The sequence below is a fragment of the Homo sapiens genome, chromosome 15 (genome assembly GCF_000001405.40).
Source record: "Homo sapiens chromosome 15, GRCh38.p14 Primary Assembly".
Classification (NCBI taxonomy): domain Eukaryota; kingdom Metazoa; phylum Chordata; class Mammalia; order Primates; family Hominidae; genus Homo; species Homo sapiens.
The window spans coordinates 56397015-56415309 of record NC_000015.10 but is presented as its reverse complement, the minus strand read 5'-3'; the positions used below and the strand labels follow the sequence as shown (position 1 = coordinate 56415309).

Here is an 18295-nt window from a genome sequence, read left to right as displayed (position 1 = left end):
GGCAAAGATTTCACGACAAAGACAGAAAAAGCAACTGCAACAAAAGCAAAAACTGACAAGTGGGATCTACTTAAACTAAAGAGCTTCTGCACAGAAAAATAAATGATCGGCAGAGTAAAAAGACCACCTACAGAATGGGAGAAAATTTTTGCAAACTATGCATCTGATAAAGGTCTGATATCCAGCTTCTATAAGGAACTTAAACAAATTTACAAGAGAAGAACAACCCCATTAAAAGGTGGGGAAAGAACAAGAACAGACACGTCTCAAAAGAAGTCATACATGTGGCCAACAAGTATGAAAAAAAAGCTCAATATCACTGATCATCAGAGAAATGCACATCAAAACCACAATTAAATACCACCTCACACCAGTCAGAATGGCTATTACTAAAAAGTCAAAAAATAACAGATCTGGTGAGGTTGCAGAGAAAAGGGAACACTTATACACTTGGTGGGAGTGTAAATTAGTTCAACCATTGTGCAAAGCAGTACGGTGACTCCTCAAAGAGGTAAAAGCAGAACTACCATTGGACCCAGCAATCTCATTATTGGTATTATACCCAGAGGAATATAAATCATTCTACCATAAAGACACATGCACACAAATGTTCACTGCAGCACTAGTCACAATAGCAAGGACATGGAATCAACTAAATGCCCATCAATGACAGAATGGATAAAGAAAATTTGGTACGTATACACCATGGAATACTATGTAGCCATAAAAAAGAACGAGATCATGTTTTTTGTGGGAACATGGATGGAGCTAGAGGCAGTTATCCTTAGCAAACTAATGTAGGAACACAAAACCGAATACCGCTTGTTTTCACTTATAAGTGGGAGCTAAATGATAAGAACTTACAGAACACAAAGAAGGAAACAGACATTGGGGTCTACTTGAAGTGGGGAAGGTGGAAAAAGGGAGAGGAGCAGAAGAGATAACTATTGAGTACTGGGCCTAATACCTAGGTGATGAAATATATGTGCAACAAACCCCCATGACACCTGTTTACCTATGCAACCTTCACATGTACCCACAAACCTAAAAAAAATTAAAACAAAATAAAACAAAATGGCTGGCTAGAATATGGAGAGTCATCTGTTTCATGAAACCATTTTCCTTCTGTTTTCTTAATATGTGAACTAATACAATATAGAGGTCAAATCTACAACAATTAGGAAATCCTGATACCTAGGTGGTTATTCTTCATTTTCTTCAAAATCCCTGTAAAATGCACCAAATTGGAAATAATACTCGAATAACATGCTAATTACTGGTGAGTCTATAAAGATGACTTCCTAACTTGTTCATGTAATAACTTCTATTAATAAATCCCAGTTATGCCATCATTGATGGCCCCTGAATATGAAAATGACCTGACCATATAACAAACTATCTCACAGACGACATCTTAAAACTCTGTAATCACTACGGCACATATTTGCCTCTCAAACATGTTAGAGGATGTATCAAGGTCACTTTCAGTCTATTCCTGTTAAGTGTTACTAACTTAATCCAAAATGTATTATCTGTGTATATAATGAAGGTGGTTCCTAATTTCATTATCCAAGTCATGATTAAATTATTAAATATTGTTTTAATTATGAGAGTCACTTAACATTATGTTAAGTGAAATAAGCCAGTTAAAGAAAAACAAATATGGTATAATTCTACTGACGTTTACTTCCTAGAGCAGTCAAATTTATAGAGACAGAAAGTACAATGGTGGTTGCCAGGGTCTAGAGGGAGGTGGAAATGGGGAGTGGCTTAATTGGTAGAGAGTTTCAGTTTTTGCAAGATGAAAAGAGTTCATGGATAGGTTGTATAACAGTGTGAATCTATGTTACACTACTGAACTATATGCTTAAAATGTTTAAGAAGGTAAATCTTATGTGTTAGCTTACCACAATTAAAATTTTTAAATTATTAAATAGTTTAATTATTAAACAGAATTGTTTTAATTATTAAATATTGTTTTAATTATTAAATAATAAATTATTAAATTAAATAATTTATTATTAAATTATTTAATTATTAAATTATTTAATTAAATAAATTAAATTATTTAAGTATTAAATAAATTAAATTATTTAATTATTAAATATTAAATATTTAATTATTAAATAGAATTTAAAAATTATTAAATAGGTAATATCACTTATTACCCTTTCAGGTCAATACAGAACCAAAAAGTAACCAATATTTATAGAAGGTACAAAGGGGTTTCATGAACATTGGTATTTGAACTTTCATTTATTCAACAGATATTTAAGGCACCGAATGCTAATTCTATGCCAAGCATTGGCTAGACACTGGAGTTACGGTGATCCTTACAATAATTTACCTGGGAACTTGTTAAAAGTGCAATTTCTCAGGCCTCACTCCAGACCTATTAAATCAGAAATTCTGGGGATGGGACCCAGCAATGTGATTTAACAAGCCCTCCCAGAGATTCTGATACATGCTCAAGTTTGAGAACCACTGCCCTGTAAAATAGAGCCTTACTTTATCTATTAGAAAACTGAGGTTCAGAGAAGAATAAAAGACTTGAGATACAAAAGATACTTTTTTTAAACAACTTTTTCTAAGAGCTTAGAAAAGTGTCTGACATATAATATGGGCACCTGATAAAACTGGTTGAAGAAATCAATCTTCCAAAGAGTTGTGCCATCACCCAATAATGGCGACAGACAAGCATATCATCCTAACATGTTAGAAATGTGTATACTGCTAATGAATATATTTCTTCTGAAAAGAGAAATGTTCAGCATGACATCAAGAATTATAATTTAAGTATTATTTTTGACATGTTCATAAAAGAAGTAGTTACCAAAAGGGATCACTACAAAAGCTATTCAATTTTTCCATACCTTGTTATTTTGCCTTAATTTACTTAACTCCAGTTTATACTTTTCTGCTTCTTCTAGAGCTCTATTCAAGCGAACCTCTGTGGCACTTTGACTACTTGCAGCCTGTTTTTGCAGTCTTCTTTTATTTTCTAATTCCTGTATAGTAAAAAAGATTATGGAACATTTATAAATATATCATAGTTTCCCCCTTTATCATTTTGCAGTATCTTCCATATCCATATTCCTTGCTTTCTCTCAAACTTTACACACACACACACACACACGCTTGGGGGTAGAGGCTGAACACTAAGTGTTAGAGGTCTCAAGGAATTCTTGCCTCAAATTGGTATTAGAGAAATATATCCTAAAAAATGTAGTTGTGAACCGGGCTTTCAAATTACTTTTCGTTTGGAATTTTCTCTCTCTTTATTGACTCAAGACACAGTATACCTGTCCTCTATTTTATAAACAACTCATTATAACTGTATTTCTTCTCTTGGGAACCTCCCAAAAAGACCAATGTTAAGAGAAACTCTCCACTGTTTTTCTGTATACCTGACAAAGTAAATCTTTTCAGAATATATTCATTAAATGCACAACATTCTATATAGCCCTATAGGAAAATCCCAATTCTAAGTAGAAACAACAGATCTTATAGATTATTTTCCACATCCTGGGGTGAGTTTAGTCTTATATTTCTGCAAACATCCTAGGATATTCTGTTGCAGAGAGTCAACAGGCCAACACCTGAAGAAACATGAACCTAGAGGATAAACTCTTAACTCCACCATAATCAACCAGCCTCATCTCCTGCCAAAGATGTTACTTTCAGTAATACCAGCAGTAACTGGATCTCTCCCAAACAGCCATGGTGTTTCCTGCCTCAGTCTTCGCCTGTGCTCTTCCTCCTGCCCTGATCTCTGCCCACTCATTTTCACATAGCTAGCACCTACTGACTCAGCTAGATTTGTACTCTAGGGCATTAGCTCTCCCAGGACATATTTCCTTTCTAATCCTCATTATCCACCCAGATTATATTAAGTACCCTCTTCAAAGCTTGTATAGCACCTTGAGAGACATTTATCATCATATCTGCTATGTGGTACTGAAACTATCCCTTAACTTTATTTCCCCCACTATAGTTTAAGCTCCTTGAAGAAAAGAACTGTCTTAATTTCTGTATACTCAGCACTTCAGTGGGATATAAAAGACACTAACACACGTTAGTTAAACTGAACTTATTTTGTAATACTAAACCCACTCTTCTTTATATCCCCTACAAAGTAAGGCCTAGTCCAGAGCCTTACTCAATAAATTGAGAAGATACTCAATAAATATTATAGAGTTGAAATGATGAAGTTAAAAATACAGTTGTCTATATTCTTTTATAATTTTTTCCTGGCTATATCACTACATTTTATTTAAAAACTGGTCTCCCTGGCTCTGAGTAATTAAGGGGAAAAACAAAACAAAACACATGCTGCTCTTTATGTAGGTTTCTAAACAAATCAAACTGTGTATGGATACCATCTGCTATCACAGCCTTCTTCACAGCTTTGTGGGTGGTAGCTACAGGAAGAGCTAGCTTGATTTATCTCACTGTTCACATAGAAAAGGCAAAGATTCTCATTAGCTACAAAGTCCACATTTCTTGCTGCCTCATTTCAGTCTTCCTTCTTAAGAATATAGAAATGAATCTTTCCCCTCTTGCCTGCTGATGACTTTGTAACCTATTTCACAGGAAAATGAAAACCATCCTGTACCACATGATGTCCCCTATCCCTGAATCAATACTGCCCTCTTCTTGGGAGGTGTGGGGGAAAAATGATAGCCACAAGAATAGTAAAGTAGGAAGTAAAGTTTTCTATATGAGTAAATCCACTAAACAAATTTCTACTGTTATAAAAATTTAAGGAGTTACAGGTTGCTAGACAAAAATTTCACGAAAAATCTGAAGTCCTGAGTTGCACATTAGTTTTTTTTTAAAAAAAAAACCTAAGAAAATCAAATTTAACATTAAAATTCAAATACTGTGAGCTTCAAGAGGAAATGATGTACCACTCTCTCATGATTATTAAAGCATTCATAAAAGGCACTGGGGGAGAGTAAGAAAAGAGAGGGGCATGCATCAGCCACAGCAGAGGACAAAATGTAGTAAATGCTCTGGGAATAACACGAAGCACCACAGAAATTCAGATAAGAAATAATCAGATGAGGATAAATAAATAATCAGATATGGTTTCAGAAACAAGTGGCTAAGGTAGAAAAGAATGGACTAGGAATCAGAAAACCTGCCAGCTGTGGTAGACTCATTTCCATATCTGAAATTGTGAGTAATATTATCTATACCTAATAGGTTTCATTCATTTATTCAACACATTTATTAAGCACTTACTACATGCAGGATACTATTCTATATGATGGGCACACAAATTAACCAAAGTTCCTCCTCTCATGACATTTGCATTCTAGAGGAAGAGACAGAAGATGAACACATATATACACATAGACATATGTAATATCTGGCAGTGTTAAGGACTATCAAGAAAAAAAGGGTAAAGGGACAGAACAATGAGGGAAGGGTAAAACTATTTAAAATAAAGTGGTCAGGGAAGTCTTCCAAATGAAGTGAGGTAATGATTTAAGTAAAAATCTTAGGGAGGCCAGGCACAGTGGCTCACGCCTGTAGTCCTAGCACTTCGGGAGTCCAATGTGGGAAGATGAACCCAGGAGTTCGAGACCAGTCTAGGCAACACAGGGAGACCTTGTCTCTACAAAAAAATTTAAAAATTAGCTGGACATTGTGGCATATGTATGTGGTCCCAGCTGCTTGGAAGGCTGAGGCAGAAGGATTGCTTGAGCTGGGGAGGTCAAGGCTGTAGTAAGCCATGATTGCACCACTGTACTCCAGCCTGAGCAACAGAGTGAGATCCTCTCTCTAAAAAAATAAAATAATCAAATAAAGATCTTGGGGAAAGAATTCCAGATAATAAGAACAATGAAGACAAAGATCCTGTAGTAGGAATCCACTTAATATATTCAAAAATCACCTAGAAGGTCAGTGTGGTTTCAGCCGAGTGACATAGGCACAGTGTTAGGTTTTGATAAGAGAAGTGGGCAGGACAAGCCTAGGTGAACCTTGTAAGCTTTACTTAGAAATTTGGATTTTATTCTGAGTGACACGGGAAGCCTTTGGAGGATTTTAAGTGTGTATGCATATGTGTATGTGTGTGATGATCTGACTTAATTTTTTTTTTTTTTTGAGACGGAGTCTCGCTCTGTGGCTCAGGCTGGAGTGCAGTGGTGCAATCTCGGCTCACTGCAAGCACCGCCTCCCGGGTTCACGCCATTCTCCTGCCTCAGCCTCCCAAGAAGCTGGGACTACAGGCAACCGCCACCACGCTGGCTAATTTTTTGTAGTTTTAGTAGAGATGGGGTTTCACCGTGTTACCCAGGATGGTCTCAATCTCCTGACCTTGTGATCCGCCCGCCTCGGCATCCCAAAGTGCTGGGATTACAGGTGTAAGCCACTGCGCCTGGCTCTGACTTAAATTTTATAAGGATTACTCTGGCCACTGTGGTACTGCCAATCTAGGAGGTTATTATAATAGTTTAAATAAAAGATAGTGGCTTGGGCTTGGGTAGATGTAATGAATGTTTTGAGAAGTGGTTTATTCTATGTATTTTGAAGACAGAATTGACAGGACTTGTTGGTGAGCTGGATCTGGATATAGGAAAACAGATCAAGATGACTCTTCAATTTTAGACTGAACAATTGGGTGATGCCTTTTACTAAGACAGGGAGAAGGAAGAGAGCAGGTTTGCTGAGGGCAGGGAAGCAAGAGCTTCCTTTAGGACATGTGAAGTTTAACACACAATAGAGATATCAAGTGGGCAGAAAGGAAGAGGTAAGGGCAAGACACAAAAATGTGAGGATGATCAACGTATATATAGATGGTATATAAAGCCATGGAACTGAATGAGATAATCTAAGGATTAGATATAGACAGAGAAGAGACTTGGGCACTCTACTACGTAAGGCCAGGAAAATGAGGGAGAATCATGATTGTGGTGCTCCAGAAGCCAAATTAATAGTGTTTCAAGGAAGGAGTAATCAACTATTTCAAATATTGCTGAGATATAAATTCATGTGAGGAATAACTGACCAAGTACAATGGACCACAACTACAGTGTGGATTATTGGTGACCTTTTTAAGAGTAGTTTCAATGGCAGGGTAGAGATGGAAGCCTAAGCAAAAGTATTTTCAGGAGAAAATGGCACATGAGGTATAGAGACACTGAGTATAAACAATAATTTTGGGAAGCTTCACTGTAAAGGGGAGCAATGATATAGGACTGGAGGTAGATGTAAGATCTAAAGAAGTTTTAAAATAGATATATGAATGATTCTATGAAATGTCTGTACACTAATGAGTATAATCTGATAAGAGTAAATTTGATTTTGCAAGAGGAAGGACAATTGCCAGTGCAGAGACCTTGAGTAGAAGAGAGTATATAGAATCCAGTGCACAAGTGCAGGGGTCAGCTTTAGACAGAAGAGGTACTAATTCACTTTAACTGGAGTGGGGAGTGGTATAGAGGCAGCGAGGTTGTAAATTTAGTGAAAGGATGATAAAGTTATCTTTTGATTCTGTTTCCTTAATGAAAAAGGAAGCAAAGTCATGAGCCAAGAATAAGGAGGTTGGAAGGGGTGTTGGAAAGTTGAGGAAAAAAGACCAACTGTTTAATAATCATCTCCAAAAGTGGGAGAGGGAATTGACTTCTCAGAAAGTGAGGGTAGCAAATGCATTATACCTGAGATTTGTAAATACATTTAAAGTAGGACTGATTAAGAATAAATGACAGAAGAGACAAATTATCAGTATCAGAAATGAAAGAGGGGCCATTATTACACATCATACAGGTATTATAAATATAATAAACATAATACAAGAATATTATGTACAAATTTATGCCAGTAAATCTGACTTAGATGAAGTGGACAAATACCACGAAAAACATAAATTAGCAAAGCTGACTCAAATAGTAGCAGAAAATCAGAATAGACTTGTATCCATTAAATAAACTGAATTGGTCATTGAAATCCTTCCAAAAGAAAACTCCAGTGCACATGACTTTCCTAATGAATTATATCAAATGCATATATCAATATAACAGAATAGTTCAAAGAAGACCCATACATAAACACAGCCAATTCATTTCCTTCACTGGTGCCATGGTAAGCAAATGAGGAAAGAACTGTATTATCCATATGCAAAAAAGTGAACTCTGATCCTTGTCACACACAAAATGAACTTGAAATAGATTACAGGTCAATTTATATATGATTTTGAGATACACACACACACACACAAACACTATAACACTTCTAGAAGAAATCAGGAGAAAAGTCTCATGACTTTGGAGTGGATAAAGATTTCTTAGATAGAATGGGGAAAAAAGCACCAACCACAAGAAAGTAATATTTTGGGTAAACAAGCAAAAGCCACAAGAAAATAACATTTTGTAATTCATCAAAATTTAAAACTGCTGTCTTTTGAAACACACTGTTGAGAAAATAAATCCAAGTCGGATTGAGAGAAACTATTCAAAATATATATTCTTCTAATAAAGGAATTACATAGGTAAACAAAGAATTTGCAACTTAGTATTTTCGAATGGGCAAAAAATTTGAACAAATACATCGCAAAAGAAGATATATGAACGGCCAAGAAACACATGAAAAGATGTTCAATATCCATAGTTATAAAGGAAATACAAATTAAACTACAATGAGATACTACTACTTCTCCTCTAGAATGGCTAAAATTAAAAAGATAATAATCCCAAGTGTTGGTGATGATACAGAGTAACTCTAATTCTCATATATTGCTAGTGGGAATGTAAAATGGTACAATCACTGTGGAACACAGTTTAGCAGTTTCTTAAAAAGTTAAGCATACACTTTCCATAAAATTCACAAATTCCACTCCTAAGTATTTGGTATACATAAAAACGTGTTCACACAGAATACTTGTACATGGAAATTCACTGTGGATTTTTAATAGCCCACACTAGAAAAAAATTGAATGTCACATCAACTGGTGATCAGATAAACAAAATATGGCATATCCATAAATAAGTAATATGGAGCAATACAAGGAAATGAACCACACCACATGTAAAACATTGATGAACCTTAAAAATGTTATGCTGAAGAAAAATAGCCAGATATACAAAAGTCCATATTCACGATTTCATTTGTATGAAATTTTAGAAAAGGAAAATCTAATTTGTAGTGAAAAAATATAGCTCAGTGGCTGCCTGGTGCCATAGTTAGAGGTTGGAGATTTATGGGGCAGGAGTACAAAGGATATTCTGGAAGGGTAATATAAATTTTCATTATCTTGATTATGGTAGTAGTTATGAGGGAATATTAATTTGTGAAAACTTATTGAATTATAAGCTAAAAACAAGTATGTTTTATTGTATTTGTTATTCTTCAATAAAGTTGATTTTAAAGAAATCACTAACAGAAAAACAAAATCCAATGCTGAAGTAAAATGCTTTCTGTTTTTGTATTTCAGAAAACTCCATCTGTTAGCATTAGCAGCTTAAGTGATACATAATAATTTTAAAAATGGTTGGCTTTTGCAGATTTATAAAAGCAAGTCCATCACACTCAAGCTCTGGCATTTTCTGTGAACTGTACACCGAGATTTGTTTGTATAGAGATATAAAATGAGACTTAGCAGAGAATGATTCAATCTTGAGTTCTCATGGCTACATAACCCATGAGAATTATTATACCTATCTGGCAGGGTAGATAGGGATGCAAGCTGGAAAGTTCAGATCCAATGGAAGCTTTTATAAAAGCCTTCAGATAGCCAGTGTATCATAACTGCTTAGTACATTCATTGTGAACTAGAAGTCTCAAGTATTAAACTCTTAAAGAGTGATAAGATTTTGGAATAGATGGTACTTACGTTCATTTAATTTTGGGGGATTCGGGAATGACATGATTTGTTGAAAAAACACAGACTTTGGTGTCAGACACAGTTTGAATCCTGTTCTGCCACTACCTATATATAACCTTGGGTAATTTGCTTAACCAACAAACTCAGTTTCCTTTTTTTTTTTTTTTTTTCTTTGAGACGGAGTCTTGCTCTGTCACCCAGGCTGGAGTGCAGTGGCGACATCTAGGCTTACCGCAAGCTCCCTCCCGGTTTCACGCCACGCCATTCTCCTGCCTCAGCCTCCCAAGTAGCTGAGACTACAGGCGCCCACCACCACGCCCGGCTTTTTTGTATTTTAATTTTTTTTATTAATATACTTTTAAGTTCTAGGGTACATGTGCACAACGTGCAGGTTTGATACATGGGTATACATGTATCATGTTGATTTGCTGCACCCATCAACTCGTCATTTACATTAGGTATTTCTCCTAATGCAATCCCCCTGCCAGCTCCCTAGCGCCAGACAGGCCCTGGTGTGTGATGTTCCCGCCCTGTGTCCAAGTGGTCTCATTGTTCAATTCCCACCTATGAGTGAGAACATGCGGTGTTTGGTTTTCTGTCCTTGTGATAGTTTGCTGAGAATGATGGTTTCCAGCTTCATCTATGTCCCTGCAAAGGACATAAACTCACCCTTTTTTATGGCTGCAGAGTATTCCGTGGTATATATGTGCCACATTTTCTTAATCCAGTCTATCATTGATGGACATTTGGGTTGGTTCCAAGTCTTTGCTATTGTGAATAGTGCCACAATAAACATACGTGTGCATGTGTCTTTATAGTAGCATGATTTATAATCTTTGGGTATATACTCAGTAATGGGATTGCTGGGTCAAATGGTATTTCTAGTTCTAGATCCTTGAGGAATCGCCACACTGTCTTCCACCACAGTTGAACTAATTTACACTCTGCCAACAGTGTAAAAGAGTTCCTATTTCTCCACATCCTCTCCACCATCTGTTGTTTGCTAACTTTTTAATGATTGCCATTCTAACTGGTGTGAAATGGTATCTCATTGCGGTTTTGATTTGCATTCCTCTAATGACCAGTGATGATGAGCATTTTCTCATGTGTCTTTTGGCTGCATAAATGTCTTCTTTTGAGAAGCGTCTGTTCATATCCTTTGCCCACTTTTTGATGGGGTTGATTTTCTTCTTGTAAATTTGTTTAAGTTCTTTGTAGATTCTGTATATATTAGCCGTTTGTCAGATGGGTGGATTGCAAAAATTTTCTCCCATTCTGTAGGTTGGCTGTTCACTCTGATGGTAGTTTCTTTTGATGTGCAGAAGGTCTTTAGTTTAATTAGATCCCATTTGTCTATTTTGGCTTTTGTTGCCATTGCTTTTGGTGTTTTAGTCATGAAGTGTCCTTGCCCATGCCTATGTCCTGAATGGTACTGCATAGGTTTTCTTCCAGGGATTTTATGGTTTTAGGTCTAACATTTAAGTCTTTAATCCATCTTGAATTAATTTTCGTATAACGTGTAAGGAAGGGATCCAGTTTCAGCTGTCTGCATATGGCTAGCCAGTTTTCCTAACACCATTTATTAAATAGGGACTCCTTTCCCCATTTCTTGTTTTTGTCAGGTTTGTCAAAGATCAGATGGTTGTAGATGTGTGGTATTATTTCTGAGGGCTCTGTTCTGTTCCATTGGTCTATATCTCTGTTTTGGTAGCAGTACCACGCTGTTTTGGTTACTGTAGCCTTGTAGTATAGTTTGAAGTCAGGTAGTGTGATGCCTCCAGCTTTGTTCTTTTGGCTTAGGATTGTCTTGGCAATGAGGGCTCTTTTTTGGTTCCACGTGAACTTTAAAGTAGTTTTTTCCAATTCTGTGAAGAAAGTCATTGGTAGCTTGATGGGGATGGCATTGAATCTATAAATTACCTTGGGCAGTATGCCCATTTTCACGATATTGATTCTTCCTATCCATGAGTACAGAATGTCCTTCCATTTGTTTGTGTCCTCTTTTATTTCATTGAGCAGTGGTTTGCAGTTCTCCTTGAAGAGGTCCTTCACATCCCTTGTAAGTTGGATTCCTAGGTATTTGATTCTCTTTGTAGCAATTGTGAATGGGAGTTCACTCATGATTTGGCTGTGTGTCTGTTATTGGTGTATAGGAATGCTTGTGATTTTTGCACATTGATTTTGTATCCTGAGACTTCGCTGAAGTTCCTCATCAGCTTAAGGAGATTTTGGGCTGAGACGATGGGGTTTTCTAAACATACAATCATGTCATCTGCAAACAGGGACAATTTGACTTCCTCTTTTCATAATTGAATACCCTTTATTGCTTTCTCTTGCCTGATGGCCCTGGCCAGAACTTCCAACACTATGTTGAACTGGAGTGGTGAGAGAGGGCATCCTTCTCTTGTGCCAGTTTTCAAAGGGAATGCTTCCAGTTTTTGCCCATTTAGTATGAAATTGGCTGTGGGTTTGTCATAAATAGCTCTTATTATTTTGAGATATGTTCCATCAATACCTAGTTTATTGAAAGTTTTTAGCATGTAAGGCTGTTGAATTTTGTCAAAGGCCTTTTCTGCATCTATTGAGATAATCATGTGGTTTTTGTTGTTGGTTCTGTTTATGTGATGGATTACATTTATTGATTTGTGTATGTTGAACCAGCCTTGTTCAACCAGGGATGAAGCCGACTTGATCTTGTTGGATAAGCTTTTTGATATGCTGCTGGATTCAGTTTGCCAGTATTTTATTGAGGATTTTTGCATCAATGTTCATCAGGGATATTGGTCTAAAATTCTTTTTGTTGTGTTTCTGCCAGGCTTTGGTATCAGGATGATGTTGGCCTCATAAAATGAGTTAGGGAGGATTCCCTCTTTTTCTATTGATTGGAACAGTTTCAGAAGGAATGGTTCCAGCTCCTCCTTATACCTCTGGTAGAATTCGCCTGTGAATCCATCTGGTTCTGGATTCTTTTTGGTTGGTAGGCTATTAATTATTGCCTCAATTTCAGAGCCTGTTATTGATCTATTCAGAAATTCAACTTCTTCCTGGTTTAGTCTTGGGAGGGTGTATGTGTCCAGGAATTCATCCATTTCTTCTAGATTTTCTAGTTTATCTGTGTAGAGGTGTTTATAGTATTCTCTGATGATAGTCTGTATTTCTGCGGGATCCGTGGCGATATCCCCTTTATCATTTTTTATTGCGTCTATTTGATTCTTCTCTATTTTCTTCTTTATTAGTCTTGCTAGCGGTCTAACAATTTTGTTGATAGACAAAATTCAAAAAGCCAGCTCCTGGATTAATTGATCTTTTGAAGGGTTTTTCATGTCTCTATCTCCTTCAGTTCTGCTCTGATCTTAGTTATTTCTTGCTTTCTGCTAGCTTTTGAATTTGTTTCCTCTTGCTTCTCTAGTTCTTTTAATTGTGATGTTAGGGTGTCAATTTTAGATCTTTCCTGCTTCCTCTTGTGGGCATTTAGTGCTATAAATTTCCCTCTACACACTGCTTTAAATGTGTCTCAGAGATTCTGGTATGTTGTGTCTTTGTTCTCATTGGTTTCAAAGAAAATCTTTATTTCTGCCTTCATTTCATTATGTACCCAGTAGTCATTCAGGAGCAGGTTGTTCTGTTTCCATGTAGTTGTGTGGTTTTGAGTGAGTTTCTTAATCCTGAGTTCTAATTTGATTGCACTGTGGTCTGAGAGACAGTTTGTTGTGATTTCTGTTCTTTTACATTTGCTGAGGAGTGCTTTACTTCCAATTTTGTGGTCAATTTTAGAATAAGTGTGATGTGCTGAGAAGAATGTATATTCTGTTGGGGTGGAGAGTTCTGTAGATGTCTATAAGGTCTGCTTTGTGCAGAGCTGAGTTCTAGTCCTGGGTATCCTTGTTAACCTTCTGTCTCATTAATCTAATACTGACAGTGGGGTGTAAAAGTCTCCCATTATTATTGTGTGGTAGTCTAAGTCTCTTTGCAGGTGTCTAAGGACTTGCTTTATGAATCTGGGTGTTCCTGTATTGGGTGCATAAATATTTAGGATAGTTAGCTCTTCTTGTTGAATTGATCCCTTTACCATTATGTAATGGCCTTTTCTCTTTTGATCTTTGTTGGTTTAAAGTCTGTTTTGTCAGAGGCTAGGATTGCAACCCCTGTTTTTTTTTTTTTTTTTTTTTTTTGCTTTCAATTTGCTTGGTAGGTCTTCCTCCATCCCTTTATTTTGAGCCTGTGTGTGTCTCTGCACATGAGATGGGTCTCCTGAATACAGCACACTGATGGGTCTTGACTCTATATCCAATTTGCGAGTCTGTGTCTTTTAATTGGGGCATTTAGCCTATTTACATTTAAGGTTAATATTGTTATGTGTGAATCTGATCCTGTCATTATGATGTTAGCTGGTTATTTTGCCCATTAATTGATGCAGTTTCTTCTTCTCATTGATGGTCTTTACCATTTGGCCTGTTTTTGCAGTGGCTGGTACCAGTTGTTTCTTTCCATGTTTAATGCTTTCTTCAGGAGCTCTTGTAAGGCAGGCCTGGTGGTGAACAAAATCTCTCAGCATTTGCTTGTCTGTAAAGGATTTTATTTCTCATTCACTTATGAAGCTTAGTTTGGCTAGATATGAAATTCTAGATTGAAAATTCTTTAAGGATGTTGAATATCGGTCCCCACTCTCTTCTGGTTTGTAGGGTTTCTGCTGAGAGATCTCCCGTTAGTCTGATGGGCTTCCCTTTGTGGGTAACCCGACCTTTCTGTCTGGCTGCCCTTAACATTTTTTCCTTCATTTCAACCTTGGTGAATCTGACAGTTATGTATCTTGGTGTTGCTCTTCTCGAGGAGTATCTTTGTGGTGTTGTCTGTATTTCCTGAATTTGAATGTTGTCCTGTCTTGCTAGGTTGGGGAAGTTCTCCTGGGAAATATCCTGAAGAGTGTTTTCCAACTTGGTTCCATTCTCCCCATCACTTTCAGGTACACCAATCAAATGTAGATTTGGTCTTTTCACATAGTCCCATTTTTCTTGAAGGCTCTGTTGATTTCTTTTTACTCTTTTTTCTGTAAACTTGTCTTCTCACTTTATTTCATTAATTAGATCTTCAATCCCTAATACCCTTTCTTTCACTTGATCAAATTGGCTATTGAAGCTTGTCCACGCATCACGGAGTTTTCGTGCCGTGGTTTTCAGCTCCATCAGGTCATTTAAGGTCTTCTCTACACTGTTTATTCTAGTTAGCCATTCGTCTAACCTTTTTTCAAGGTTTTTAGCTTCCTTGTGTTGGGTTAGAACATCATGATCCTTTAGCTCAGAGAAGTTTATTACTGACTTTCTGAAGCCTACTTCTGTCAACTCGTCGGTCATTCTCCATGCAGCTTTGTTCTGTTGCTGGAAAGGAGCTGCAATTCTTTGGAGAAGAAGAGGTGCTCTGGTTTTTAGAATTTTCAGCTTTTCTGCTCTGGTTTCTCCCCATCTTTGTGGTTTTATCTACCTTTGGTCTTTGATGTTGGTAACTACAGATGGGGTTTTGGTGTAGATGTCCTTTCTGTTGATGTTGATCCTATTCCTTTCTGTTTGTTAGCTTTCCCTGTAACAGTTAGGTCCCTCATCTGCAGTTCTTTTGGAGTTTGCTGGAGGTCCACTCCACACCCTGTTTGCCTGGGTATCACCCACGGAGGCTGCAGAACAGCAAATATTGCAGAACAGCAGATATTGCTGGCTGATGCTTCCTCCGGGAGCTTCGTCCCAGAGGGGTACCCACCTACATGAGGTGTCTGTTGGCCCCTACTGGGAGGTGTGTCACAGTTAGGATACACAGGGGTCAGGGACCCACTTGAGGAGGCAGTCTGTCCATTCTCAGAGCTCAAACGCCATGCTGGGAGAACCACTGCTCCCTTCAGACCTGTCAGACAGGGACGTTTAAGTCTGCAGAAGTTGTCTGCTGCCTTTTGCTCAGCTACGCCCTGCCTACAGAGGTGGAGTCTATAGAGGCAGTAGGCCTTGCTGAGCTGTGGTGGGCTCTGCCCAGTCCAAGCTTCCCGGCCGCTTTGTTTACCTGCTCAAGCCTCAGCAATGGCAGATGCCCCTCCCACAGCCAAGCTGCCACCTCGCAGTTCGATCTCAGACTGCTGCACTAGCAGTGAGCAAGGCTCCGTGGGTGTGTGACCCGCCAAGCCAGGCACGGGAGAGAATCTCCTTGTCTGCCGGTTGCTAAGACCTTGGGAAAAGCGCAGTATTTGGGCAGAAGTGTCCCATTTTTCCAGGTACAGTCTGTCATGGCTTCCCTTGGCTAGCAAAGGGAAATCCCCCAACCCCTTGCACTTCCCGGGTAAGGCGACACCCCACTCTGCTTCAGTTCACCCTCCGTGGGCTGCACCCACTGTCCAATCAGTCCCAGTGAGATGAACCAGGTACCTCAGTTGGAAATGCAGAAATCACCTGTCTTCTGCGTTGATCACACTGGGAGCTACAGACCAGAGCTGTTCCTATTTGGCCATCTTAGAAGGGCACTGTTTTGTATTTTTAGTAGAGACAGGGTTTCACCATGTTAGCCAGGATGGTCTCGATCTCCTGACCTCATGATCCACCTGCCTTGGCCTCCCAAAGTGCTGGGATTACAGGCATCAACCACCATGCCTGGCCAGTCAGTTTCCGTTTCTATAAAATGCATTTTGTCTGGCATATGGCACTCAAAAAATTATCCCCATACAAAGGGAAAAAAAAATTCTCCCCCTACAAAGGGAAAAGTATAATCAATGTCACCCTTTGGCAACATTAATCTACTGACAAAGTACAGTATACAATGGATAAGAAATGGAAAATGGACACAAAATGGGAACTGAAAATAAGGGATGAATGAAAAACATTTGGAAGAAAAATTGCACAGGATTGGACATGATGGCCAAGAACATGAAAAGAATCAAATATATAACCAAGGTTTCAAGATTATCTGAGACTAGAACAGTGATGTGACAGAGCTTGGGTGCATAACGGTAAATGGTAAAGTCATGACAAATTAAAACATGGATGTTCCCCTAGACACTACAGCTTTTTCCCTTTAGACCAATTATATATATTTCTTAGACCAATAGAAATAGAATACAGAATACATATGTAATTACAAAATTTCTAGTAGCCACTGCAAGAAGGTAAAACAAACAGGTAAAATTAATTTTAATAACATATTTCACTTAACCTAATATATTCAAATATTATTTCAACATATAACCAATACAAAAAATATTAAAGAGATTTTGAGATATTTTACATTCTTCATTCTGTTTTACATGAATTCTTCAAAATCTGATTTTTACTTTATAGTTATAGCACATCGCAATTTAGCCACATATGGTAAGTGGCTACCATACTGGAAACACAAGTTCAGACTATTAAATACTATAATTAACTTTTATTACTAGATGAGTGGGGAAACAAACTGAAGTACATTCATTCATAGTTTACACTACTCAGCAATAAAAAGGAATGGACTATAATAGGGATAAATATTGAATGTTGTATTAGTCCGTTTTCATGCTGCTGATAAAGACATACCCAAGACTGGGCAATTTACAAAAGAAAGAGATTTACTGCACTCACAGTTTCACATGGCTGGGGAGGCCTCACAATCATGCTGGAAGGTAAAGGCACATCTCACATGGTGGCAGACGAGAGCTTGTGCAGGGAAATTCCCATTTTTAAAACCATCAAATCTCCTGAGACTTATTCACTCTCATGAGAACAGCACAGGAAAGACCTGCCCCTGTGATTCAATGACCTCCCACTGGGTCCCTCCCACAACACATGGGAATTCAAGATGAAATTTGGGTGGGGACACAGCCAAACCATATTCTACCCCAAGACCCTCCCAAATCTCATGTCCTCACATTTCAAAACCAATCATGCCTCCTAGGTCTCTGGGCCTGTGATGGGAGGCGCTGCCGTGAAGACCTCTGCATACCTTGGGAGACATTTTCCCCATTGTCCTGGGGATTAACATTCAGCTCCTCAAGACTTATGCAAATTTCTGCAGCCGGCTTGAATTTCTCCTCAGAAAATGGGATTTTCTTTTCCACTGCATTCTCAGGCTGCAAATTTTCCAACCTTTTGTGCTCTGTTTCCCTTTCAAAACTGGATGCCTTTAACAGCACCAAGTCACCTCTTGAGTGCTTTGCTGCTTAGAAATTTGTTCCACCAGATACCCTAAATCATCTCTCTCAAGTTCAAAGTTCCACAGATCTCTAGGGGAGGGACAAAATGCCACCAGTCTCTTTGCTAAAACATAACAAGAGTCACATTTGCTCTAGTTCCTAACAAGTTCCTCATCTCCATCTGAGATCACCTCAGCCTGGATTTCATTGTCCATATCATTATCAGTATATTGGTCAAAGCCATTCAACAAGTCTCTAGGGAGTTCCAAACTTTCCCATATTTTCCTGTATTTTTCTGAGCCCTCCAAACTTTTCCAACCTCTGCCTCTTAC

General features: G+C 37.9%; 1 protein-coding gene across 33 annotated transcripts in view; it reads right to left on the bottom strand.

Moving 5' to 3' along the window:
- TEX9 (testis expressed 9) overlaps positions 1-18295 on the bottom strand; it is a 216038-nt gene that overhangs the window by 44701 nt on the left and 153042 nt on the right. For 32 of the 33 annotated variants that reach the window (NR_169563.1, NR_169562.1, NR_169561.1 and 29 more), the window contains one exon: positions 2874-3008. The exons of the other annotated variant lie outside the window; for it this stretch is intronic. Coding sequence is in view for 28 of the 32 variants with exons in the window: in NM_001385043.1 (NP_001371972.1) it covers positions 2874-3008 (135 nt within the window). In the remaining 4 variants the exon portion in view is untranslated. The remainder of the gene's footprint in view (positions 1-2873; positions 3009-18295) is intronic. 33 annotated transcript variants of the gene reach the window in all.